Source organism: Homo sapiens, chromosome 3 (assembly GCF_000001405.40).
Source record: "Homo sapiens chromosome 3, GRCh38.p14 Primary Assembly".
NCBI classification, from domain to species: domain Eukaryota; kingdom Metazoa; phylum Chordata; class Mammalia; order Primates; family Hominidae; genus Homo; species Homo sapiens.
Window position 1 is genome coordinate 52,812,523 of NC_000003.12, and position 23,981 is coordinate 52,836,503.

The 23,981-nt window shown below is 55.9% G+C and overlaps 3 protein-coding genes and 1 long non-coding RNA gene across 5 annotated transcripts in view, besides 4 other annotated features; 1 reads left to right on the forward strand and 3 right to left on the reverse strand.

The window, feature by feature from the left end:
• Positions 440 to 18,150, reverse strand: ITIH4 (inter-alpha-trypsin inhibitor heavy chain 4). 2 transcript variants are annotated; one of them, NM_002218.5, is made up of 24 exons: positions 18,031 to 18,150; positions 16,597 to 16,757; positions 14,571 to 14,675; positions 14,269 to 14,431; positions 14,019 to 14,129; positions 13,364 to 13,492; positions 12,320 to 12,436; positions 11,875 to 12,043; positions 11,668 to 11,793; positions 11,301 to 11,482; positions 11,034 to 11,219; positions 8,469 to 8,608; positions 8,109 to 8,263; positions 7,769 to 7,795; positions 7,418 to 7,468; positions 7,232 to 7,270; positions 6,871 to 6,996; positions 5,940 to 6,014; positions 5,735 to 5,761; positions 5,530 to 5,646; positions 4,362 to 4,536; positions 1,687 to 1,841; positions 1,453 to 1,549; positions 440 to 968 (listed from the first exon to the last, which is right to left on the reverse strand). In NM_002218.5, the coding sequence occupies exons 1-24, from the start codon at positions 18,118 to 18,120 to the stop codon at positions 899 to 901; spliced, it is 2,793 nt and encodes a 930-aa protein (NP_002209.2). In that variant the 5' UTR covers positions 18,121 to 18,150; the 3' UTR covers positions 440 to 898. The 2 variants fall into 2 exon arrangements, with proteins under 2 accessions (NP_002209.2, NP_001159921.1); NM_001166449.2 differs by lacking the exons at positions 7,232 to 7,270; positions 7,418 to 7,468.
• Positions 7,103 to 8,091: an enhancer, noted in NCBI's record as "H3K4me1 hESC enhancer chr3:52853641-52854629 (GRCh37/hg19 assembly coordinates)". NCBI's record gives its function as "activates a minimal SCP1, AML or CMV promoter by ChIP-STARR-seq in primed H9 embryonic stem cells {active_cell/tissue: H9 hESC(primed)}" and the evidence as "EXISTENCE:reporter gene assay evidence [ECO:0000049][PMID:30033119]".
• On the forward strand, positions 11,413 to 12,792 carry ITIH4-AS1 (ITIH4 antisense RNA 1). Its single transcript, NR_046615.1, has 3 exons — positions 11,413 to 11,471; positions 11,590 to 11,815; positions 12,683 to 12,792. It is a non-coding gene; the product is annotated as an ITIH4 antisense RNA 1 (long non-coding RNA).
• Positions 11,737 to 11,894: a silencer, noted in NCBI's record as "fragment chr3:52858275-52858432 (GRCh37/hg19 assembly coordinates)". NCBI's record gives its function as "represses an EF-1alpha promoter that drives an FKBP-Casp9 reporter gene in an ReSE screen in HepG2 liver carcinoma cells {active_cell/tissue: HepG2}" and the evidence as "EXISTENCE:reporter gene assay evidence [ECO:0000049][PMID:32094911]".
• Positions 14,894 to 15,502: an enhancer, noted in NCBI's record as "H3K4me1 hESC enhancer chr3:52861432-52862040 (GRCh37/hg19 assembly coordinates)". NCBI's record gives its function as "activates a minimal SCP1, AML or CMV promoter by ChIP-STARR-seq in naive H9 embryonic stem cells {active_cell/tissue: H9 hESC(naive)}" and the evidence as "EXISTENCE:reporter gene assay evidence [ECO:0000049][PMID:30033119]".
• Positions 15,503 to 16,110: an enhancer, noted in NCBI's record as "H3K4me1 hESC enhancer chr3:52862041-52862648 (GRCh37/hg19 assembly coordinates)". NCBI's record gives its function as "activates a minimal SCP1, AML or CMV promoter by ChIP-STARR-seq in primed H9 embryonic stem cells {active_cell/tissue: H9 hESC(primed)}" and the evidence as "EXISTENCE:reporter gene assay evidence [ECO:0000049][PMID:30033119]".
• On the reverse strand, positions 20,599 to 22,497 carry MUSTN1 (musculoskeletal, embryonic nuclear protein 1). The gene is made up of 3 exons (NM_205853.4): positions 22,418 to 22,497; positions 21,095 to 21,227; positions 20,599 to 20,908 (listed from the first exon to the last, which is right to left on the reverse strand). Exons 1-3 carry the CDS (start codon positions 22,424 to 22,426, stop codon positions 20,802 to 20,804), a joined length of 249 nt encoding a protein of 82 aa, NP_995325.4. The 5' UTR covers positions 22,427 to 22,497; the 3' UTR covers positions 20,599 to 20,801.
• Positions 20,599 to 23,981, reverse strand: part of STIMATE-MUSTN1 (STIMATE-MUSTN1 readthrough) — a 64,428-nt gene continuing 61,045 nt past the window's right edge. Inside the window, exons 9-10 of the mRNA NM_001198974.3 lie at positions 21,095 to 21,227; positions 20,599 to 20,908 (exon numbers count right to left, since the gene is read on the reverse strand). Coding sequence (NP_001185903.2) covers positions 20,802 to 20,908; positions 21,095 to 21,227 — 240 coding nt within the window. The 3' untranslated portion in view covers positions 20,599 to 20,801. The remainder of the gene's footprint in view (positions 20,909 to 21,094; positions 21,228 to 23,981) is intronic.

Below are 23,981 nucleotides of genomic sequence, written 5' to 3' on the forward strand. Positions count from 1 at the left end.
CAAATTCTGGGACTCAATCAATCCTCCGGCCTTGGCCTCTCAAAGTGCTGGGATTACAGGTGTGAGCCACTGCACCCAGCCGTAAATTTTTTAAAGTATATGTTGCCCGTACAGGAATTGGTGGAATCTTTGGGGTGCCTAACCCTGGGGCAAGAACAGGAAAGGAGACCCTCAAGCACAGGATTCAGAGTTGGGACCCAGATCAGCCCCATTAGACTAGAGGTTCCTGGAAACAGGCCCTATTTCCCTGCTGCACCTGGGGCCTCGCCTCTGTGTCTCCTTCAAAGATCCAGTGCTTCCTTACAAGCCAATGAGCAGACAGGCCTGCTCCTCAGCACAGGTGTGAAAATCAAATTGTGTAAAGCAAATCCCATTGCAGAGAAGTCCAAAAGCTCACTGAGAAAGTTTAGGAGTTGGACTAGAAAGAATTCCAACCCAGTTCACTCTATTTTTTTTTTTTTTTTTTTTGTAGTCAAAACTGGTCCAAGAGACCATGAAGCAGACTGAACCTCTGCTCCTGGAGAATGCTCCCAGCCCTGGGCCTCTAGCTGGGGGCCACAGTGACATCTCAAATGGGTGGTTCGAGCTCAGTTTCCTTGTTTGTAAAATGAAGGGGCTGGACTGAAAGCTCAGCATGGGCCTTCCTGGCCATGGGCTCTTGAGAGCTGACAGTGGAAGCTTCTGTGTTCCACGATGCTAAGGTTCAGGATGCGAGGTTGAGGCCCTAGGATTTGGCCACATGGAACTGGAGACACCCACTTCCCAGGCTCACACCACCTTTCTTTATTTGTAATGAGTGGGACTCTTCCTCCCCATGGTGGTCCAGGCCCCAGAAGCGGCCCTGCAGTTGCAGGGGGAAGCCAAGTGTACAGGGTGGGCACAGCTCCTTCCATCAGAACTACAGCTCCACAGACCAGCAGGAAATCTCCACTCCCGGGGGCCCCTCCTGGTAATCCAGCCTGCGCTCTCTGAAATGGAAAGACAGACAGATAGGCAGGTGGTCAGCAAATCTCAGGTGTGGTGCGAAAAGAGGGAGACAGCTGGGGACAGGAACATGGAGGGCAGGGAGTCCTGGCGTCCCTTTAGAATTCCCTCCAGCATAGGCCAACAAGGCCCAGTCACCCAGAGCATTACCCTAGAGAAGCCAGTACGTGAGGTCTCCAGGGTTTAGGCTCTGGGAGTTCAGGGTGTGGACAGGGAGAGGTTCCGACTGTCCCCAACCAACCCCAGGGATCTCAGGGCCCATGTGTTTTCTGTGGGTCTGAGATGGCCATCCATCTTTTGTGGGGTCACTGAAAGCTGGCTTAGACACTTCTACAGCATCAACCTTCCACCGGACTGTGTCTAGTTCCTGGGCAAGGACAGGAGTGGGGCCCTGGAGAGCCTGGCTCCTGGCCTGCCAGTCCCCACCCCACCCCAGCTGGGCTCAGCGGTCTGCTTGTGCCAAGTCACCTGGTGGCAGAGTGGTCATTGCCCTGAACCCTCAGCGTGCGTCTGCCGTCATCTGATGCTGCTGGAGATCCCCAGAGCACCTCCTGGTAAAACTGGCCTGAGATACAAAGGGTGGATCAGTAAGGGTCAGAGACAGAGGAAGCCTGGGAGACACACGCAGGGGAGGGGCGCTGCCTGTTCCCAAGCACAGCTGGTTTCTGAGGAAGGCCTGGGCCCCGGTAATGGGCTCAGTACCAAGGGTCCCTCCAACGTGGCTGGAGAAGCGGTCAGTGTCACGCAGAAGGAGCCGGAGCCCCTCCCCACGGCCATCCCAGAACAACAGGCCGATGGTCACTTTGTCTGGGTCACTGAGCAGCAGGAGACCCGTCTTGTCCATGGTCATCTTCAGGCTGTGGAAAGACCCAGTGTCTTGAGCAGGAAGGTAGAGACGTGTGCACAGAACCTCAGTAGTCAGGGTGGGGAGTGGGCTGGGCTTCCCCTCTTGTCCAGGAAGTCACGGAGTGGCCTTGGGTGGGAAGGCCCTTAAATCTTCTGATTTCAGTTTCCTCATTGGTAAAATAGGACCAAAGTTAACTTAATGATGTCTAGTTTCCCCATCACTTTTTTTTCTTTCTCTTTTTTGGTGGGGCAGGGACAGGGTCTCACTCTGTCCCCCAGGCTGCAGTGCAGTGGTGTGATCTCAGCTCGTTGCAACCTGTGCCTCCTCGGCTCAAGTGATTCTCCCACCTCTACCTCCCAAGTAGCTGGTACTGCAGGTACATGCCACCATGTCCAGCTAATTTTATTTTTAAGAGAGACAGGGTTTCACCATGTTGCCCAGGCTGGTCTCAAACTCCTGAGCTGAAGCAATCTGCCTGCCTCAGCCTCCCAAGGTGCTGGGATTACAGGCGTGAGCCACCGCACCCGGCCTCTGGTTTTCTTAAATTCAGTTTGTCATAAATTAATTTTATATGATTGAAGGAGTTTCTCTGATGCATCCACTCTGTCCCTTTTGTTCTACAGCTGGTGCACTCTCTTTGGATGACTTGTGTTTAATCATGTGTTTAATGTCTAAAGGATAGGCCTCTTCTCATTCTGTCTCCTCAGATTTTTAGTTAAAATAACCCTTGAAATTCTTGCCTTTCTGGTGTTCTCATGAATGTTAGGTTCCTTTGAGCATGTTGAATAAGACCCTGCTGTTACTCAGAGGTTATTTGAAACAAATTTTCCCTAAACATACACTGTTCTATTGCTTCAATTCAATCTAAAATATGTGGGTTTTTTTCTTTTTTCTTTTTTTTTTTTTTTGAGACGGAGTCTCGCTCTGTCGCCCAGGCTGAAGTGCAGTGGTGCAATCTCAGCTCACTGCAACCTCCACCTCCTGGGTTCAAGCGGTTCTCCTACCTCAGCCTCCCGAGTAGCTGGGATTACAGGCGTGCCACCACACCCAGCTAATTTTTGTATTTTTAGTAGAGACGGGGTTTCACCATGTTGGCCAGGCTGGTCTCCAATTCCTGACCTTAGGTGATCCACCTGCGCTGGCCTCCCAAAGTGCTGGGATTACAGGCATGAGCCACCGTGCCCAACCTATTTTTCTTTATGTCTTCTGTAGCTCATGAAACTATTTGGACTTTCTCTCCCTACAATTAATAGGATTTTACTTCTATTTCATTTTCTAGGCATAAAAATGCTATTGATTTTGGTGAATCTACCAGATAGCAAGGAATTTTAGATCTTTTTTTTTTTTCCTTTTTTCGGAGATAGGGTCTCACTCTGTTGCCCAGGCTGGAGCGCAGTGGTGTTAACTCAGCTCACTGCAACCTCCATCTCCCAGCTTCAAGCAATTCTCAGCCTCCTGAGTAGCTGGGATTACAGGTGCCCGCCACCATACCTAGCTAGTTTTTGTATTTTTAGTAGAGACGGGGTTTCACTATGTTGGCCAGGCTAGTCTCAAACTCCTGAGCTCAGGCAATCCACCCACCTTGGCCTACCAAAGTGCTGGGATTACAGGCGTGAGCCACCACACCGGGCGTAGATCTTTTATGAAATTGGGAAGGTTTTTGGGTGAGCCCTTGGATAAGCTGGGTGTGCACTCATCTGTCAAGTGCAAGGGAGTTCCCGCAGAGGGCTTGGTGAGACAGGGCTGGACAAGGCTCTCCATACTTGGAAAAGGGTGAGCTGTGGCACAGGGTGGGGGCTTGGAGGTCACTGCCCACAGAGGACGAGGGCCTCAGCCCTTCCTGGACGCCCCTCGTGATCTGCAAAGCTGGAAGACTGTCCCTGGAAGGCCACTGTGAAGCAGTGAGCTCCCTCACCCAAAAGAGGTGGCCTTCTGCCTCCATTATTCACCAGCTGCTCAGTATTTGAGGCCACTGACTTGTGTCTCCTTAGCAAAGCTCCAAGGATACGCTAAAGAGAATGCTGGTAACATGCTGTCAACAGTGCTCTCCAGCTTCTCACTATTGTCATCAGAACATCACGTCACTATGTAGGCAGCGCTGTCCTGTGGGGTGCTTGGGGGGCACTGTATCATCTGACGGCAAAGTGCTCCCAACTACACTCTCTCATTGGGTTCTCCCCCCAGCCTTCTGACTCTGGGCCAGGATGATTAGTACTGGTTATTGGTGAAGAAACTGAGGCTCAGAGGGACTTAGCTGCCTGCCCAGGGTCACAAGGATTAGCAGCAGAGCTAGCTCCAAACCACACTGTCTCCTGCATGGGATAGTGACCTGGGTTAGGTCCCTGGGACAACTCCTCAGTGCCCTCCGGAGCTGCAGGGGTATATGGCAGGGCTCTTGTCTCTTTGCCCCTCCTGTGAGTGTAGCTGCTCCATTCTCAGGTCCATGGCCTCAGGCCACCTGCTGGTACCATCATCAGCCACTGTAGCCTGAAAGGTCAACCCCTGCCCCGGGCTCCAGCCTGGGCCTTACCCGGGCATCACTGAGAATAGCGTCTCCTTCCACTTGTACGCAGAGCTTCTTCGGTTCCGAGTCACCACCACGTGTTCAGGGGATGCGTGAACCCATACCAGGGGGTTCTTGAAGGTCACTTCGATCCATGAGAACCCAGCCTTCTCCCTCTCATACTGGCCAGTCACCTCAACCCCTGGGAGGACCAGACCAGAGAGGTCATAGCTGGGCCCCAGCCAGGTCTGACACCGACCTGCATGGGGAGTCCCCCCTGATCACACCCCCTGGAGTTCTGCAGCAGCTCCCTCCCTCATCAGGAGGGGTGCCCCTTTCTCAGCACTCCTTCACACTGGGGGCTGGCTCCCACAATCTCTCCACTTGTCCCTTGGTGTCTAAGGCTTTGGAGGGGCCCCTAAATCCTCGGCGACGGCCACCCTCAGTTGAGGCCTTTGAGAATTAACTTGTCTCCAGTCAATAAGCCTTCAGAACGCCCCATGGAGCGCCTGGCCCTGAGCTAGATGCCGCGGCCAAGGGTAAGATGGAGAATTGGTGCTCCCTGCCCTCAGGAAAGACATTCCTAGCCTGAGTGAGGAAGTGGGTGACACATGCATCTGAGGAATGAGAAAGCCATGGATGTCCCTTGGCTTTGAGCGGGGCTGGGCGGTGCGGGGGTGAGCACTGCTGAGTGGAGTGTGTCCCCATGTCTGGTCCAGGATTGAAGGGGCAGGGCCCAGCCAGCACCCCTGTCTCTTCCTGCCATTCCCCTCATCCACACCTTCTAGGTCTCATCTTTTGGGGCTCTGTACTCTGCAGGCACTAACTCCTCCATCATCTGGAACATCCTCATGCTGGTCTCTGTGCACCCGCCATGGCCCTGCCATCCCTGTGTGACCCCAGGCAGCTCCCCTGACCCTTGCCCCACCCTGGCTCCTCCTCTAGGCTCACCTCCACATGGCTGCCATGCTTATCTGTGCCTTGGCCACCCACACCTGCACACAAGGTGCCCAGTGGAAGGTCCCCGGGGTGTCTGTGTGAGTGTGTGCCCATGCCAGCACTGGGAGGCAGGACCATGCTATGATCTGGGAGGGGCCTGTGTGGGGCCAGCCTGCACGCGCTGTGTGTGTCTCTGTAGGCAGGTGGTGGGTGTGTGCCAGTGGTGTCTGGGTCTCTCTGGGTGTGCCTCTCTCACCTTGCTCAGGGTCTGAGAGCAGGTTCACTGGCCCCTGGCGGTGTCTGGGGTCCACACAGAGCCGCTCCACACTCTGCCCAGGCAGTGGCAGGATGGCAGAGGGAGCCTGTATGGGGGCTGGGACAGCCGGGGCACGGCTCCTGGAGCAGGAAGGGCAGGCTGGGGGCAAGGATGTGGAAAGGGGCCAAGGGGGCTGGGAACTTACCTGGGGTTTGGGTTGTCATGGTTGTTTCTAAAAGAAGAAAAAGTCTGGGTTTAGGCAGCCCCTTCCTGAGGAGTGGGAGGTTGAGGGAGGGAGCAGTGACTAGGTGTGGCTGGGTTCCCTCACTACTTCAACATCGAGACATGTGACAGGTCACTCCCCTCCCAGGATCCCCCTGTTAGGACAGGGCCTCTGGCCTTGGGGGCACCTTCGATTTTCATATTCATGACACGAGACACAGCTGGATCAGGATTTGAGGTGGCTGGTGGTGCTGAAGCAGGCACTAGGGCAGGAACATCCGGAAACAGAAAGGGAGCAGGAAGGCAGTCAGGAGGCGGGCAACCAGCAGCGCTGCCACCAAGCTCCAGCCCCCCATCCTGCCACACATACACTCCACCTAGAATGGCCTTTGTCACAGGAGATTTTCAAACAGAAGAGCATGCTGTCAGGGATAGGTCCAGCCTGGCTGTGCAGCTGCATTCGAGTGCAGATTTGGGGATCAGAAAACAGTTCAAGGGACCTCTGTTGGCTTTCTGAACGGAGGAAGCCCTCCCTTCCTAGAAGGTTTCCTCATGAGTCAGCCTCTAGAGTATAGTGGATCCTACTCAGTGAAAGTAAAGGACAGGTGAAGTCCTGCCTTGGGGAGGGGAGGCCTGATGTCCATACACTGGGTAGTGGGGAGAGGGGCCTTCAGAGAGAGGAAGCTGGCAAGGACTGCTCCAAAGAGCGCTGTGATGTGCATGCTTGGCCAGTCCGTGCCCCTCTTAGGGCCTAGGGTCCCCTCTGAACAAGGAGTGTGGGAGAGGCTGCTCTGTCATGGCCTGTGGTCTGACAACCTAGGGGCAGCTAAAGGACCCGGGTGAGCTCGCATCTGAGGAGATGAGACGCTAAGGATGGGGCAGGGGGCAGCTGCAAAGAGCTGGGAAGGCGAGGACAGCCTCCTTAGGAAATGCACTCCCACCCCAGCCCCAGTAAATGATCCCAGGTTGAACTGACCCACAATTACTTCACATCGTGCCCTCAGCAGCCGTCCCTGGCCTGGCCCTGTGGTGCGTGCTTTACCCCACCCCCCTCTATGGGGCAGGCTCAAGGACCACCGTGGGAAACCGAGGCCCTCGCAGGGCCGGAAGGCAGCTTACAGATGGCCAGACGGCGGAAGGGGTGGTAAGCAGCATGGTCAGGAACATCAGGAGGTCCTGGGAGTCCAAGTTGCCTGGAGCTGAGAACCCCAGGTCTGAAATTCATCCGGGAGCCAGCAGCTCCAGCTTTGGAGAAATCGACAGATGCAGTCTTCTCTCAGGTGGGGTGTGGGTCTTCACAGCCAGGGCTTGAGATCCACCCAGGAGTGGGTGCGGAGAGGGCAGCTATGTCCCCTCTCCCCACACCCGGCCAACTTGGGGAGCCTCTCCCCCAACAGCTGGGAGATGAACAATAATGGACCTCCCTCAAGCTCCCCCCCAGGGATGTCATGCCTCCCCCTGGCAGAAACCCTCAAACTACCTTGTCTATTCCATCCTCTTCTTGGAGAAAAGGAAGCCTCTGTGTGGTCAAGTCCTGATCAGATACAACTGAACTGAGGCCCGAGGGCTGTCACCAGCCAGAGGAGCTGGGCAAGGCACTACCCTCCACAGCCAGGACTGAGCCCAATCTGTCAATCTCCCCTCCCCCCACCTCCTACTTTGTCACCTGGTTTTGGTATTTTTGCTCCCTGGAGATAATATTTGAAGAAAGTGGAACCTGGAAATCAGTGGGACCTGGGTTTGCATCTTGCACCCACCTTCCTGTGGCCCCACTTGGATGGGGACTGTATTCTTAGTGCTGGGGACAGGGCCTGAGGCACAGCCAATATTTGAATGCACAGGCGACTAAATGCACCAGCATGCTGGGTCAGATTACACTGCCTCCTGGCAGCAGGGATGGGCTGGAGAGGCCTGGGTGGACCTGGGCCCTGGCCAGCAACCTCACAGGGCTGGTGCCCTGGACCCTGTGTTAGCAGACCACCACCCAGCACAGCCTTTGAGGATGTTCGCTGCTTACCTGAGTGGACATTCCTGTTTCTACTTTCTGGATAAAACAAAGAGAGAGAGAGAGACAGACAGACAGAGACACAGACAGACACCGTCAGGGTGGTTTTCATCAATTTGAAGCGCTTGTGTTTAATCTTGCTACCCAATCCTGGACTATATCGTAGGTGCAATGAATTTGGGGAGACAGGAGACCCGGCTTCACTTTCCTCATCAGTGAATAGGCTGAATCTCCCAGGGGGAGTCTGTTGGGGGCACGGTTGGGGTCTTGGTCAGGATGCAGGGAAGATCGGGGAGAACGCTGGGTCCAAACTCTGCTACCTGGGAGGCTGAGATCTCAACCCCACACCCACCGCCTTCCATGGGCTTCTCAGCAACTTGAGACTGCTCTTGGTCATCGGGTTTGGTGACTACCATAGATGTGAGAGGCGTGACAAAGCTGTAGGCAAGTGATAAATTCAGCGCTTGGTTCCGGAGGGCCTGCTGATCAGCATCGGATGCGGAGACACTGTAGGTGGAGCACATCAGAGCTCAGGAGATCCTTGAATTCGGGAACAGATTTTCCATCCAGCCCCTTCTGGGGAGGTCCCTCTGGGAGAATCTGGAGCTTGGACATGATGCCAAGACCCCCCTCTCTCCATGCTTAGGCGCTGTACCGTGCCACCTGTGCCTGCCCCCTAGCGACAGGCTTAGGGAGGTGCTGATGCACTCACGTTTGCTCCAGCAGCTGCTGGATAGTCAGGTATGCCCAGAGCCTCTCCATGAAGTTGTGGAAGATATACTTGGGGCTCTGGAACTCCGCCTCCTGCTCTGCCACACTGGACTCCGTTTGGAAAGTGATGTTCTGTGTAGGCTGGAAAGAGGGGCCCAGCCAGGGCAGGAGCAGTGAGGGCCGGACATCTGCATCTGCCTGGCACTTCTGAGCTCTTCCATGATTGGGGCTGGGGCAGGTCCCACACACTGACTGTGGGGACTGCATTTCCTTTGAGTGGGGGTAAGGAGGGGGCTTAGGGGTGCAAGGGGCTCAGTCACAGAGCATACAGGGATGAGAAGGAGGTGAAAAGGTAGCAAAGTAGCCCAGATACAATAAGGCAGGCACAGCGCCAGGACTCAGATCAGCCAAACCTCTGGAAGAAAGGGATGGGAACCCCAGGCCAGTGTAGAAACAGCAGCAGGAAGGATTTGCAAGTGCAGTGTGGAGCAGGAAGGGTCTAGCTACAGCCTGCCCTTACCCCCAAAGCTGAGGGAAAGGGACAGAGAGGGAAGGACCTTCCCAGGGGTCAGAGGCAGAGTTGAGAACACAACTCAGATGTCATGGCTCCGGGTTTGGGGCCCCATCCACCCCAACGGCTGTCCCTGTCCAAGCTGGCCCCTCTGCGGCTGGCCACCGTGGGACAATGACAGGGAAGCATGCACCCAAGCTCTGTGTGAACCTGCTCCCTCCTCCCTCAGGGAGGGGCCTGTGGTCTCAGACTGACCTAGCTCGCTGCCTGGGAAATGGGCTCCTAGGGCAGAGGAATCCCAGGCCTCTCCCACCAGAGCTCCCTGAGTGGCCAAGAGACCTTTTCACAGTGCGGATCAGATCTGCGGTCTGCTCCCACTGGAGCAGCCTGTCTCTCGCCCAGAGCCTGGCTGGCTTTCCAAAGCTTTGGCACACATAGGCTACCTGCATGAATTTTGCCCCATCCACACATACAGCTATTTAATTGATATTTTTCCTTAAATGAACTTTAAGTAAGCTAACAATTTTTACTTGGCTTTATGTCCATAAAATCTTAGATCTGGGCCAGGTGCGGTGGCTCACGCCTGTAATCCCAGCACTTTGGGAGGCCAAGGTGGGCAGATCACGAGGTCAGGAGACCGAGACCATCCTGGCTAACAAGGTGAAACTCCCTTTCTACTAAAAATACAAAAAATTAGCCGGGTGTGGTGGTGGATGCTGGTAGTCCCAGCTACTTGGGAGGCTGAGGCAGGAGAATGGTGTGAACCTGGGAGGTGGAGCTTGCAATGAGCCGAGATCCAACCACTGCACTCCAGCCTGGGAGACAGAGCGAGACTCCATCTCAAAAAATAAAAAAAAAAATCTTAGGTCTGAAGTTCAGGTCATATTTTTCAGAATACACATTAAAATAAGTAAATAACCACTAAAACAAGCCATGTCTGTCTGTGAACTCCCCTGAGTCACCTTGGGTTCTGTACTTTGGGAACCCACGGCCTCCAAGCTAAATCACCTGCTGACATGTATGGAGTGCTTATCACTGGACATCAATCACAGTGACTTTATGAGGGGGGCATGCGACTTATTCCCATGTTTACATAGGAGGAAACTGCAGTAGATGGAGGTTAAGTGACTTCTCCATGTCTCCTATCTGGGAGGTGGCAGAGCTGGGTTTGAAGCCAGGCAGGGTGGCCACGCAGACCGTACCAACAGTCATGACACTTGGGGACTTGTCCTGAAACAAGGCCATGGGCCCCCAACGCCCACTCCTATTCTCTTCACACACGCTGCCCTCATGCCACAGGGGCCTAACATATTCCTCCATTGCCCCATCTGGACTCTTCCCACCTCCTACTTATCCTTTTGTCTCTGCTGGGCCTCCTCCAGGAAGCCCTCCCTGATCCCCAGGCCAGGCTGGGGCTCCTGGTGCTGCTCTCCTGAGTCCAGGGTTAGATCCCAGCCTGTAGCTGGTTTGTGTGGTGATATGTCCTTGGGTTGTCTCTCCCATGAGGGCACGGAGGGGTCAGCCTCATTCACTGCTGCATCCCAGGGCCTGAAGAAGGCCCTGCCGCAGAGCTTGTGCTCAGTTTCTCTTTGTGGAAATGACAGGGGGTCCCTGGAAGGAGGCAGGGAAGGCTGGGCAAGGACAGGGTGCCACGTGGCAAGCTGGGCTCTTGGCCTGGTTGCAGTGGGGCCCGGGGAAAGCTGCCTGCCCTGCCTGGAGCTCAGTCTGCTCATTTGTGAAATAGGAGCAGCCCTCCCTGTCTGACTGCAACCTGAGAGGGTTGTGGTACCAGGACAGGAAGGGATGACAACTAGGGAGGAATCCCTGCCCTCACCTGTGCTTGCAGGTGCACAGACCGGCTGCCGAGAGCCTGTATGTGCTGGTCTCATGAGAATCACTCCATTGTCTCATTGAATCCCTGCCATGCCCCTGTGTCATCCACAGGCAGCAGAGGGGAAAGCTGGAGCTGGGCAGGTCTGGGATTTGAGTCCAGCCCCTCTGGCTGCAGAGGTGGAGGCTGCCATTCCCCTCCAGGGTGGCTTTGGCCACACTCACCAGCTTCCCACTGACTGTGGCTGTGAGCACATCAGGCCCCCGGTCCTGGAGCTTCCCAGCCACCACCATCTCTGAGCCCTTGAAGAGGAGCCGGAAGTTGTTCTGAGTGACCTCCTCCACGGCATTGCTTGGGTACTCGAAGGTCACTGCTGTCAGCAGTGGGTTGGCCACTTCCTGGTAGAAGTCCTGCAGGGTTGGGGGTGTCATAAAGGCTGGGCTTTATGACTGCCCACTTCTCTGTGCAGCCCACCTGGGGCACACTGGCACCTGGAGCTGCAGGGCAGAGTCTGAGTCCTCATGGATGCGCCGGGCCAGGCCGCCATTGTCCAGTGCCAGCTTCTCCAGGAAGGCATAGCTGACGTCGAAACCGAAGCCCAGGCAGAAGAGGCTGTACCGGCCACTTACAGCTTCCCGCACGTTATTCTGGATGCTCCTGGGGTTAGTCTCCCCTGGACCCAGGGGTTTGGGATGAGGGTGAGAAAATAGTGATTTGCTTGAAGAATATTTCTGGAACCTCAGAGCCGAGGGGCCTCAGTGACCCCCTCTCCCTGCCCAGATCCCACAGCAAGCCCAGGTGCAGCCCCAGCCGCCTCCCCTGTGCAGCACGTCCTGGAGTCACGGGCAGGGCCCTCACCCACAGTGGGGTCGCCATCGGTGAGCAGGATGATGAGTGAGACACTCCCTTCGGGCAGCCGCTCCTCCTGGTTGCTGCTGTCCAGCAACTGCACAGCCATCAGCATTGCATCATTGATGTTGGTCCCTGAGGAACACGCACTCTCAAGGTGGTCCCCAGCCAGGAGCCCTGGAAGCCCCCACCCTGCAGGGCCACAGAGACACTTACCTCCCAGGGCCTGGATGCCCGCAGCAAAGCTCCTGGCCTTGTTCACGTTCTCGGCTGAGGCTGGCACCAGTGATGGCCTCCACTGAGTTGCTTCTGTACTGAAGACGATGAGGTTGAACTGGTCTCTGGGGCTGAGGTCATCCAGGATCTTGATTAGGGCTTCCCGGGTCTGGTCAGGGAGAGGAAACATAGGTGCTTCAGAAGGGCTCCCTGAGGGCTCGTGTGCCCTAGGGCTGGCATCCTTGGACTCCTGTCTCAGGGGTGAGGTCATGGTATCTGCTCTAGGAACAGGGGCTGCCCTAGGCTCTGGCCAACCTTGGTTCCTGAGAGCCACCCGCCCCATGGTGCCGAAAGGTGAAGCAAGGGGGTCTGCCTGCCGGACCACAGCTGATAGCGTGAAGGGCCTGGGAGTTTTCAGGGCCCTGCCCTGGGCCACAGGACCTACCTGCTGGATTTTCCTGCCACTCATGGAGCCGCTCTTGTCAATGACAAAGACCACATTCTTGGGCATTGTGGTTAGGCCCTCGGGGGCAAAGTAGTGTACAAAGTAGCCGTTCTCGATCTGTGGCCAGAGTGAGACCCACCCAGGCCATCAGAGCTACAATTGGCCCTATCCCCATTCAGCCCCTTTACCCCAAATTCTGGGTTTCTGTGCTCTGTTCCAATCCCATTTCCATCCCACTGCTAACCTCCCCAAAACCTTGCCCTTTTTCAGGGCTCAGACCAGCCCCTTTCTTGCGGAAGCCTTCCCTGCTCATGCATAGCCCACCAGAACTCTCCCTGCAACTTTTCCTTCTATTTGTTTTAGTATTTCAGATGGTTTATACTAAAAAGTTCAGACATCATAAACCTGACAACCATCAAAAGAGGGAAGACTTCAAAAACATGGAGTAAAAGGGAAGTATAATAACAATGGCAGAAATGGCTGGGTGTGGTGAATCACGCCTGTAATTCCAGCACTTTGGGAGGCTTAGGTGGGAGGATCACTTGAGCCCAGGAATTCAAGACCAGCCTGGGCAACCTTGTCTCTACTGGAAAAAAAAAAAAAAAAATTAGCCAGGTGTGGTGGTGCACGCCTGTAGTCCCAGCTACTAGGGAGGCCGAGGCAGGAGTTTCTTTTGAACCTGGGAGTTTGACGGTGCAGTGAGCCATGATCATACCAAAATATAACAACAATAATAATGCCAGAAACTAGTGTGAAAGAAACTACTGCAAATCTGCATAAAACTGAGTTGTGAGCCTCCCAGCAGCAGAGGCAAAGAGGGAAACCCCACAGGGCAGCTCTTCTCAGAGACAAACCTTTTCTGCCTGGGAAAGGGAATAGTTTCAGGGACAACACAACTAAATCACGTGTTTTCTGTCTGTGCCGGTCCCTGGTGCACACTGCTAAGTAAGGGTGGTTCTTTTCCTGTTCTAAAATACCCAAGCTCAGGCCCTTGGGGGTGGACAGACTTCTAGGCTGCTCTGCTCTTGCCTGAAGTCCACCCACCTGAATGGAGCCCCCGGAGATGGCCCGGTCCACATCATAGCGGATAATGAGGTTGCCGTCCAGGACTGTTTCTTGCTGCTCTGGGGACTTTTGCTGCTGGGAAAGTGTTGGCTTGAACCGGATGTGAGCCTGGAGGAATAATCCGGGCTGAAGTTGGGAGGAACAGCAAAGCCAGGCCAACAACACCCTCTACCCCTGTCTGTATATTGGGAAATCAGAATTCCAGGATGCAGCCTTGGGTCCGTATTCCAGGGCACTTTCTTTCAGGCTGAGTTATTGATGGACCACTTTCACGTAGGGGAGGGGTGTGATGAGCTCCCTGTTCCTGGAGCTGCGCAAGCAGAGGCTATTCCAGGATGTGTGCCATCCAACCATCTCCTTCTCTCCACCTGGCCCCAGGACCCTCACATCAGTCTATTATCCAGCCCCTTCCCAGACAGATCTCAGGGCTCATACGAGGACGCCATGGTCCTTCTCTAGGCTTTGCCCTCCCCATCTGCCAAATGACAGCAAGGATGCAGAGATCTCAGGAGCCTCTCCAGGTCACAGCTCACAGGAGGGAGAGCCCATCCTGCTTTCCAGAAATCCGGGCTCATAGGGCTGGCCTGAAGGCAGGGCCCTTGGTACCCTCACCTGCTGACCACAACAGGCCCACCTTGGTCTTATTCTGCCAGGTGGTGAGGGCGTCTACCAGCTGGTTGGTCATGAAGGTGCTCTCTGTCTCCAGAAAGCTGATGCCCTGGGGCTCGAAGATGTGAATGTCCATCTGGAGGCAAGATGTGGGTCCCTGGGTCAGCCAGGAGCCTGGGCTGGGGCTCACAGGAGGCTCAGGGACAAAGAGGGGCCGCCCTCAGCAGGGCAAGGGTCATGCAGGAGGCCTCCCTGGAAGAGGTAGCAGCAGGTACCTGCAGGTGCTTGACCAGCTGCTGGGGCCGCACTTTCAGCAGCAGCTCGTACACCCCCAAACGCCGCTTGAGCAGCTCCTCATAGACCAGCTCAAAGGTGATCTTGGCATTGGGAGCCACACTGACCGACACCTGGAACTGCTCCATGTTTCTCCCGGTGGCCCTGGGGGAGAAGGGCATCAGGCCTGCTCCTCCAGGACAGGTGGGGTAAGGCTGGTAGAGGTGGGAGCAGGACTAAGGGCCAAAGGCAAGGTGGCCTTTGTCTAGACCCTCCCCACTGAAGCTGCCCCCCACCAGCTCACTTGACGAGGCCAGCGCTCTTTCCCTTGGCCACTGCTGCGCTGTACTGTGCCTGGGCTTCAGCCTTCTCCTTGATGATCCCTGGGTAGGTCATGCCATCGATGATCCTGGGGGCAGAAGGGTGGGAGTTGTTGAGAGCCTGGTGGCAGGGGCCCATTCCACTCCTGCCTCCTCCAGAGAGCCTTTCTGGACTCGGTGTGCCTCTTGACACAGTGACTCCCATCTTTGCCTGAGCCCAGTGCCATTTATTATGCACCTACCGCATACAGGACCCTGTGCAGGGCACTCTGCAAAGTGCTCCAGGCCTCTAGCTCCCGGAGGTGTGTACAGTAACAGTAAGCATTCATTTTATAGAAGGGACGAAGGGGAGGCTGCAGAGGGGCAGGGCCGGGCTAAATCCTGCCTTCTCTCCACCTGTCCAGTCTGGCCGAAGCTGGCCCACATTCCCACCTGCCCCTTCCATTTCACGGACTGTTCCAGGGGAACTAGTTCATCACCAGCAAGAGCTCTCTGAGTCACACTTGTTCCCAGCCCTGCGTGCAGCCGTGTGGGGCCAGGACTGAGGAGGAAGCAGACGTAGGGCTGGAGGCTCTGAGCACTTTCCCCCTACAGCAGTCTCCCCGCTCCCTCCCACAAGAGGCAGGCACCCTATAGGGAGGCTGGCATATCTGGAAGGAGGTTTTGGACAACTGGTGGACGGGACTCCTGGGTGTGTGGACACACTCCTAGCAGCCATCCTTTGGGGGCTGAGAAAGAATGGCCCAGGCCATTTCTCAGGGAGGAAAACGACTTTTTCAGAGCCTCCTTGTGGGGTGTGTAGGGATGTGCCTGGTCAACTTCATGTGGTAGTGTGTGGCAGTGGGCAGGAGGGGGAGCAGCCAGGATGTCAGGACTACGCGTCCCTCCTGCCTGACCTTCCTGGTTATAATTTAACTCTAGCCCGGGATGGGGCTGGTGAGTGGGCAGTGGCACTCCTCCCCCTGGGTAGGCAGTGCTTCATCTCTCCAGATGGCCAGCTGGGGCTCCTGGCCAGGTCAGGGAGCAGGGAACCTGCTCTCTGCTCCCCTAACTCATGCAGCAACAGGTTCTGGGTCTAGAGAAGGCAAGTGACAGTCTTGGGCTCTCAGCAGATGCCACGGGCCTGGACCTGGCAACTGCTGACCCTGGCACCCATGTCGAAGGCTGACACAGCCCGTGGGGCTTGCACTGCAAGCTGGGCAGCATAGGCCCGGGCTCTGGGTTAGGAAAAGTAGAGGCTGCGGTGGAGTGGGGGATGCTTGGCGCCTGAGGGAGGAGACTAGCCCCCACTGCAGTTTTCCAGAGGCCACAGTGTGGGACCCCACATGAGACACTCCCTCTCTGCCCCACCATCGCCCTGTTTCTGGGAAGAGTCTTGCCCTTGTCCTAAATCACAGCTTTTCCTGGCAGCAAGGGACAGGCGGCATCCTGGTGCATTTAGTAAACATTGGAAACTGAGTTGGGAAGGGTAGGGGAGGGTGGCAGAGGACAAAGTGAGGACCATCCTTGGCTCATAGAATTCAGAGAAACCTCAGGCATCTCTCACGCAGCCTGAGCAAAAATGTCCTCTGCAGGATCCCAGCTGGGGCAGACCTAGGAGAATCCTCCTCAAGCCACTCTCCACTGTGAGGAAGCCAAGGGTCTAGAAGGTTTTCTGTACTTTGAGCTGGAATGTGCATTTTGGTGACTCCCTCTTGCCTGGTCTGGCCTCAGGAGGCCTCAAGTCTGTGCTCCTCAAAGGCAAAGTCACAAAGATTCTGTGGTTCTCTGCCTAACACCTGGACAGCACTTAGGGATGATGAATGGCTGGATGGAGGGAAGGACGGGGGCATCTTTGAGAATAAGTCCTTTGGCAAGCCCCTGTTCCTGTGTGGCCCCAGGTGCAGGGTGTACTCCTGAAGATGTACACCCTGGCATGCCTTACTTCAAGAAGAGGGTTTGCTGGCACAGAGCGATGGAGTCATAGCACTGGGGGGTGTGGAGAGGGGAGGAGGGTGGGAAGGCACCTACATGGAGAAGTTGGTGATGAAGGCTTTCTTGGGCAGCTCCATCTGGAAGGTGGCCTCCTGCACAGTATTGGCCCTATTGACCACTCGGCTGGTGACGACCGTGTGGGCAAATCGGGATGAGACCCTGGAGTCCACGGTGAGGCTGTAGATGTCGATGCCATTCTGGACCAGCAAAGAAGAAGGGGGTTGCAGGGTTTCAATGCCACCTCAGCTCGGGGTGACGCTCTTCAAGAGTTGGCCCTGACTCTGGCTCTAGACCAAACCCTGGCTCCCAATCTGACTGAGCCACTGACCAGGCCTCAGGCTGAACCCAGTGAGGCATCTCATATGTGAACATTTGTCTCAGGTAAGAGATAGCAGTGTGCTTCATTCCCCACCCTACAGCACCACAGGGCAGGGGCCACGTCCTTCTTGATCTATAGGGGCCCAGAGCACCCCTTGGAGAAGAACAAGCATGCAGGGGGTGGAGCTGGTGAAGCCAGGGCCAGTGTCTGGGAGGGGCATCACACTCAGCCTTTGGGCAGGGGTGAGAGACCTGGTGGGGTCAGGGAGCTTTGCATGCTGGCTTAGCTTTGCCCAGAAAAAGGGCAGTGACCAGGTCCTTTGATTTCTGGAGACTTTGGCCTCTGTGGCAACAGGGAAGCTCCCACCAGTCTCCTAGAAGGAAGCCCTCAGAGCTGGGAGAATTCGGAGGTAGACTAGAGTCTGGTCTCTGAGAGTTGGGAATCTTCCTCTCTGCTCCGCAGTGGACCCTCCCCAACTCATCCCCACTTCCGCAGGGCACTCCCCTAGCAGGTGCCATTTGCCTTGAGGTCTGTGTCCCCCGAGGAGGGGCACACGGGCACCTCTTACCTGCTTGTGTGTGACATGCTCATGCGCACTGCACCAACTCTGCTCGGCTGCATGCGGCTGCCTGAATGCAGTTTGGCACAGAGGTGCCAAGTGGCTTGTTTATGTGCTTGGGTATTTGCTCTGCGACAAGCACTGTCCTAAGCACTTCATAGATACAATGGGTTTGGTTTTCACAACAAGCACTGTCCTAAGCACTTTATAGATACAATGGGTTTGGTTTTCACAACCGCCACCCTCTGAATAGGTTCTAGTATTACCCTGTTTTACAGATGAGGAAATTGAGACATAGTCAGCATAAATCATTCTCCTGAGGTCACTTACTAAAAGGCGGTAGAGCCAGGCTTGTAAAACTGTATTTCCTCATTTGGAAAATGGAAATGATTGGATCATCCCCTCTATTAGGTGGGAGAATACCAGTAAGGCCCTTGGGGTAGTGCCTGGCGGGAGGTCTGCACCATTTTTTTGCACACACAGGGATGCACACGCACTTGTGCTGACACGCTGGCACATGCGGAGGCTCTTCCCCACTTCCCAGGCGTTCTCTCATCCCCCAGCTCACGCCACACCCATGGACACTGGCTACCTTTTCGGCAGTAGTAGTCTGGTGGATGGCCAGCAGTGAAAGCAGGACGAGAACTTTGCTGCAGGTACGGACAGGCCTTGGGGGCTTCATCGTGGCTCCAGTGTCTGCCAGGAGGCTTCTGAACTCGACAGCAAGTGGGGAATGGATTAGTAACTTGTTTGCTGCCCCACCCACATGGGGGCAGGTTCTGGGAAATTGGGATCTACAAGCCAAAAACCACAGTGACCTCAGATAAGCAAATGACGAACGTCCCATGGACCTTGGCTGGGGGCAGGAATGTATACCAAAGAAAGGTAGGCTCAGTTTGGAGTGGGGGTACATGCCCCTTCTGAAAAGTGCGAAACCTTCACCAGGACCCTTCACACCAGGCATTCCACCAAGCTCCACAGGGCTGGGAGGGAATTGACAGTGAAGATGTCAGTCTGCTCTCCCTAAGTCCAGCCCGGGGAGAAACAGCGGGGGATGGTGGGGAAGACTAGGGCTACAGGGCTACCCTAGCGGCTTCCCGGAAGAAGGGGGCTTGGCCACCAGGTAAGTGTGTCTGGCTGATGGGAGGGCCCAAAGGCATGGAGTGACTCTGGGAGGTGTCTGTGTGGGGCAGATCTAGAGTCAGGATAGATACGCCGTATTTCTGAAGTGAGAGGTGCTGGGCACGGGGCGCCTCCTTCTCTCTCCTGGGGTCCCAGGTTGCTGTTTGGGTGCCATTAATCTAGCCAGGGCTTTAGGTTCAACCCCAGCAAGGCCCCCAAAACAAGAATGGCAATACAACTGAGTCATAAACCTGCCACATCCTGTGGCACAGAGGTCTCCATGCGGGGAGTTTATTGACAGAAGAGCATGGAACAGAAGACAGACCTGACAGTGCCAGCAGCTCCTGAGGGGTGACTGGGGAGTCATTTGGTGGAGCAGAGGGAGCCCAGGAATCGCTGGTTGAGAGAGGGCAGAATGCTGTTGTCATGAGCAGTGTGATGCTGCCACAGCCCAGACCCAGGGGAGCGCTGCCCAAAGGCCTGGGGTGGGTCCCGGCCTTGCTAAAGTTGAAGCGCTCTGCTCCTTGTAAAGTGGGATCGAGTGAGTACATATTATGCGCTCTGGGCACCGCTGGGGCTCGTGTTCCCTGGTGGCTCTGGGGAAGCCAGCTCCTGAGTCTGTGGCCACAGATGGGTAAAGATGAGTCATAAAAGTGTGGCCAGATGCCAAGTCCTGGATCAGGGAAGGACGGCGGCTCCGTGACACCAGCCCTGAGGGGGCCAGCTGCCTTGGGAACCTATCGGGGGCCTTGGGGCAGCCAGTGGCTTCCAGAGGCTGGGGAGGGTTTCTCCACCAGTCCTGTCTCCATTAGAGGTGGCGGCAGGCCTGGGGCAAAGGTGCCATAGACTGGAGCTATTTCTACAGCTGCAAGGAAGACGTTCCCCTTCCTTAGCATGACTGGCCAGAAGCCTCATCTCTGCGCACGTCTCCACTGCTCACCCTTTTGGCTCTGGATACGATTGGGATTACACAGGGGAACACGCTCCTTTCAGTGTCTGGGGGAAGAGTCTCCCCATGGAGTCCAGCAAGTAGGACTGGGCCCTTCCTCACAGCAGGGCTGCTCCCTTGGGGCAGAGAGCACAGGCCCAGCCCGGACTCAGGGCTATATAAGGTGGCCAGGCTGGCCGGGACTGTGGGAAACGTTCTGGGCAGCCAGAACCTCCTGGGACAGGAAGGCATCCCCAGCAGGCATCAGCCCCGAGCCAGGCACCACAAGCCCAGGCTCTGCCAGTCCAGCTCCGAAAAGAGCCACTGTCAGCCTGTCCATGGTCATGGTCTTGCCATCACAACGGGACAGGCCTCTATGGGTCTTTTGAACCTGGCACTTCCAGGCACACAGGGGACAGAGGACTGGAGAGAGAAGGGTCATGCAGGCTGAGAATCTGGTGTTCCATGCCCCAGACAGCATGGTTGGAGCAGAATGTGGGAGTCTTACCCCTGCTGTTTGGAAGAGACGGTAGCTCAGGAAACTGACTGCCAGAGAGGAATCTCAATCTGGCTCTGACTTGGAGGGGACAAAAGCCGGGAGGAGGCAGTGTGAACAAAAGTGTAGGGAGGGAGAGGGGTTTTGAGGTCCCTAGTGCAGTGCAGGGAGAGGGGTTTTGAGGTCCCTAGTGCAGTGCAGGGAGAGGGGTTTTGAGGTCCCTAGTGCAGTGCAGGGAGAGGGGTTTTTGAGGTCCCTAGGTGCTGCAGAGCCTGCAGGTCCTCAGAGGCTTCTCAGCAGCTTCTGTGGAAGGCAGGAGGAGAGGTGGTCCCTGAGACCCCACCCACTTCACTCTGAGCAGTGTCATCATGGCCTGCTTTATGGAATAGACTCCAGCTCAACTCCCCTGTAGTATAAAAGGGGAAACTGAGGCTCAGAAAAGTCTGAAGTCACAGGTCAGCACTGAGTCTCCATGTCCAAGGCAGCATGTGGCAGTGCCCATAATAGCACCTGTGCTATCCCCTGGGATCCTCTTAAACGGACATGTTCCATGTTCCCACCCTGTCCTCCCTCTCAATAGTGGCCATAGCCAGGGACCAACCAACACCTTCTGATTGCTGGGGCCACGTGGGCATCCTCTTTATTGGTGCTTCCAAGGTGCTGGTGCAGAGCCCTTGGCTGAAGGGCCTGGACTGTGGGGGAGGGTGGCAGCCCCAGAGACAGCAGGGGAGAGGAAGCGTTCTGGCATAAAAAAGAGTTCCTGGGAAAGGCTCCTGTTTCCGAGCATTCGGGCAGCAAGGGGAGTGGCGCACACTTCTCAGCCGAAGACACTCTTGGTGGGTCCGGCTTTGGGCTTCTCAAAGACAGTCTCGGTACCTGTGCGGGTGCGGCTGAACACCGACGGGGCGGCCGAGCCAGCTTGCTCTGTGGGAGGAGGTAAAGTCAGGGGCCAGCCTAGCTTCCTGGGAGGGAAGATCCCTTACGATGGGAGCACCTTTCTTGAACCCAGGAATACTGGATTCTCAGAAAAGGATCCTTGACCACCTCCCCCCACCACTGACACACACCTGCACCCCCATCCCCAGCCCCAGATGGCATGAGGACACTCACCACACTCTCGCATGACCTGGTAGGTCTTGGACTTGATTTCCTGGTTCTTGGTCAGGTTTCCTCGGGCCCCCTTCAGGTCCTCGTCCTTCACAGGGGGGCGCTTCTTCTTGATAGGGGCTTCCTGAGCACCAGCCTTGGAGATCCAAGAGCCTCATCTTACTACCTGAAGCCTCGGTAGAAAGGCACACCTACCTCTGTGCCTTGGCCAAGACCCCTCTTCTCTGCTCATTAAACCCAAGCCTATTCAAGGCTCTACTCCTCTTCCAGAGAAAGCCTTCCCAACTATACTCCACCTGCTGCAGGTCTCCCAGCTGTCTTGGTCTGACTTGCCCATGTGCCTTTCCCCTATAGCCTGGGAGCTCTTGGGAGCAGTGGCTGCTGCAGCCTCACACTGGCGTGTCTGGCTACCTGGTCAAGCTCAGGACTGGGCACAGTGGGGAACAGCGAAGGGGACTAGCTCTGAGGTTGGGCAATACTAGGGAATTTGGTTAGTTCCAAAACCTGTTCACTGGGTGGCAAGCGGTTCCTCAAGGATTGCCCCCTTCCAGAAAAGCGCCACTATTTACTTTGTGTCTTTGGGGCTGGAAATGGGGTAGAAGGGCCAGATGCCCACAGAATTACAGTCCAAAATGGCCACCCACCCACAGAGCAGGCAGCAAGGACAGTCCTCTCTCTTGGCAGGCTGGTCTGTCCCTCCAGGGTGGGGGACACCCAGGCTCGGTGTTTACCCTACCCCTCAACCCCAGGCGCCTGTGAGTCTGAGACCTGCCTGTGCTTGGGTGCAGGTGCAGGTATTTCCTCGCTCAGCCTGGGCCAGGCTCCTCAGAGCAACACACTATACCCCTGTACAGCGATGCATCCAGCTGTGTCCCTCCAGCCTCATGTGCACACACATACAGCTTCATGCATATACCATACACAGAGACAGACAGACCTATGTGTGTGGCCACACACAGAGTGCATGGCTGCCGGGCCCATAGCTACAAATGCACAAAGCTCTACACACTGAGCTATATCGGCAGCACACACACAGATGCGCACACACACACACACACACACAGGCACATGCAAAGATCTATCTAGGCCCCCCCCACCCCCAACATTTCTCTCCACTCCTCCTAACAAACCGTGGAATACCACCAAAGCCACATAGAAGAGGGGTTCTTCAGGGGGTCCTCCCTGAGCCCCCATCTCCCAAGGGCTGCAGAGCCTCCAGTTCATGCTTGGGGCTCAGATCAAGACACAGCTGCCAGAGCCGAAAGTGTCCAGGACTCCACCTCCACTCCCTCTGGCATCAACACAGCCCTTGCTGGGTCCTCCTACCTGGGACATGGTGGGTATTGTGTAAGCGCTGGGTCTCTGAAGGCGCCTCTCTGGCAGGCAGCAGCTGCTGGAAAAGATCTGAGTGGAGCCCAGCCTTCTGAAACTTATATAGCCTGCTTGCTTGTCCCGCAGAGTCACTGCCCCTCCTCTGACAGGCTCCCTGATGATTCAGGTCCGCAGGGTCGCTGGCTTCAGAGTTTATTCTCGGAGATGAGAGGGGCTCCCAGTACTGCTGCCTGGGGGCTGCAGCCCTGATGAAAGCAGATGGCTGCAGAGACCCTTTGCCCTCTGGGACAGCTGCTTGATTCGCCGGGGGGAGGTGCTGGCACTGACGGACATGCTTTGTGTTTACGGATTTGGGTCCTGGAATGTGTGACCATCTGAATTGTTCCTCTGCAAGGGTTCATCCCAGTGTGTGGGGTGGGTGTGGGGTGTCCCTGAGGGAATGGAGGGCCCTAGCTGGGTTGGACTGCTCCAAGCTTGTTTTTCTTCCTCTTCCATCCCTTCCCCTGGATTCCAGTGGACAGATTTTCCATCCCTGCATGGTGGCAGAGCAGGAGCTTCCCGTGTCTGCTGCGTCTGATTATGGCAAGCTCACTGGGCCCTTGCAGCAAACTCAGAGAGGGGCTACCACAGGTTCACAGGTGGAGAAAGTGAGGTAAAGGGAGCCTGGGGAGTTGCTCATGTTTTTGCTGATGTCCTTGTCCTCTATCCTATTCCAACTGCAAGTTCAGAGAGGGGGGAGTAAGGGGTCTGGAAAGGACCAGGGAGGAAACCATGCTCGATGGTGACAGCACTGATGAGACAGAGGTGTGAAACAGGCTCAGGCTCAGGCCTGAGCCTACTCACCTCCGAGTAGGTGAGGCCACCGCAGGGGGGCTGGCCTGCAGGACAGTTTCAGTTGCTCAAAGAGGGTGGGGGAGAGTGAAGCCCACTCCAGATACTGAGCTGCAGAGACAAGAACAGGCCCAAGGGCTCCCCGGAAGGTCACTTAGCTCTCCTTTGCTAGAAGCTCCTAACACACCCCTCCTTGCAAGGGGAAGATCCCCCAGGGCACAGGCCAGGAGCCTACGCCTGGGGTGGGTATGGGGAATAGGTGTGCATAGGTCGCAGCCCTCCCAGTAACACACATATCTAAGTCCTTTTCAGTTTATGATGGAGATTATTTTTATCCTCGAAGGCTCCAGGCAGATGGAACTCAACCAGGCACTGACATTTGGTTATCCCAAATGCCACTCCATTGCTGTCATACTTTGAACCCCACCCCAATCCCCCTCCTGACACCCTGGCTCCAGGAGGCCAATGAGAGGACTGCCAGGCTTGATCTGAGACAAGTGCTGACATGAGGAATGCCCAGGATGTGGCACATGGGCCAAGAGGCAGCTGAGGGCAGGCCAGGCCTTGTGGGGGCCTTCCACTAGTTCCAGGGGTGCCCCTGCAGATGGCACCTGATGCTGCGGCTCTGCCCAGGGACCTCCTTCCAGCCCCGCAGCCTCAGGGACAAGGATGTGGGCTACTCACTGCTTATACTCTACCTCCCCAACACGATGTCCTCCTCAGAGAC

Coding starts and splice junctions, on each gene's coding strand:
- ITIH4 (NM_002218.5), bottom strand. CDS start 18,120: ATGAAGCCCCCAAGGCCTGTCCGTACCTGCAGCAAAGTTCTCGTCCTG. Junction 14,130..14,268: donor AGCTGGTCAAGCACCTGCAG/GTACCTGCTGCT, acceptor TCTTGCCTCCAG/ATGGACATTCACATCTTCGA. Junction 6,997..7,231: donor AAGAGGATGGAATAGACAAG/GTAGTTTGAGGG, acceptor ATTTCTCCAAAG/CTGGAGCTGCTGGCTCCCGG.
- MUSTN1 (NM_205853.4), bottom strand. Junction 20,909..21,094: donor CCAGGTCATGCGAGAGTGTG/GTGAGTGTCCTC, acceptor CTCCTCCCACAG/AGCAAGCTGGCTCGGCCGCC.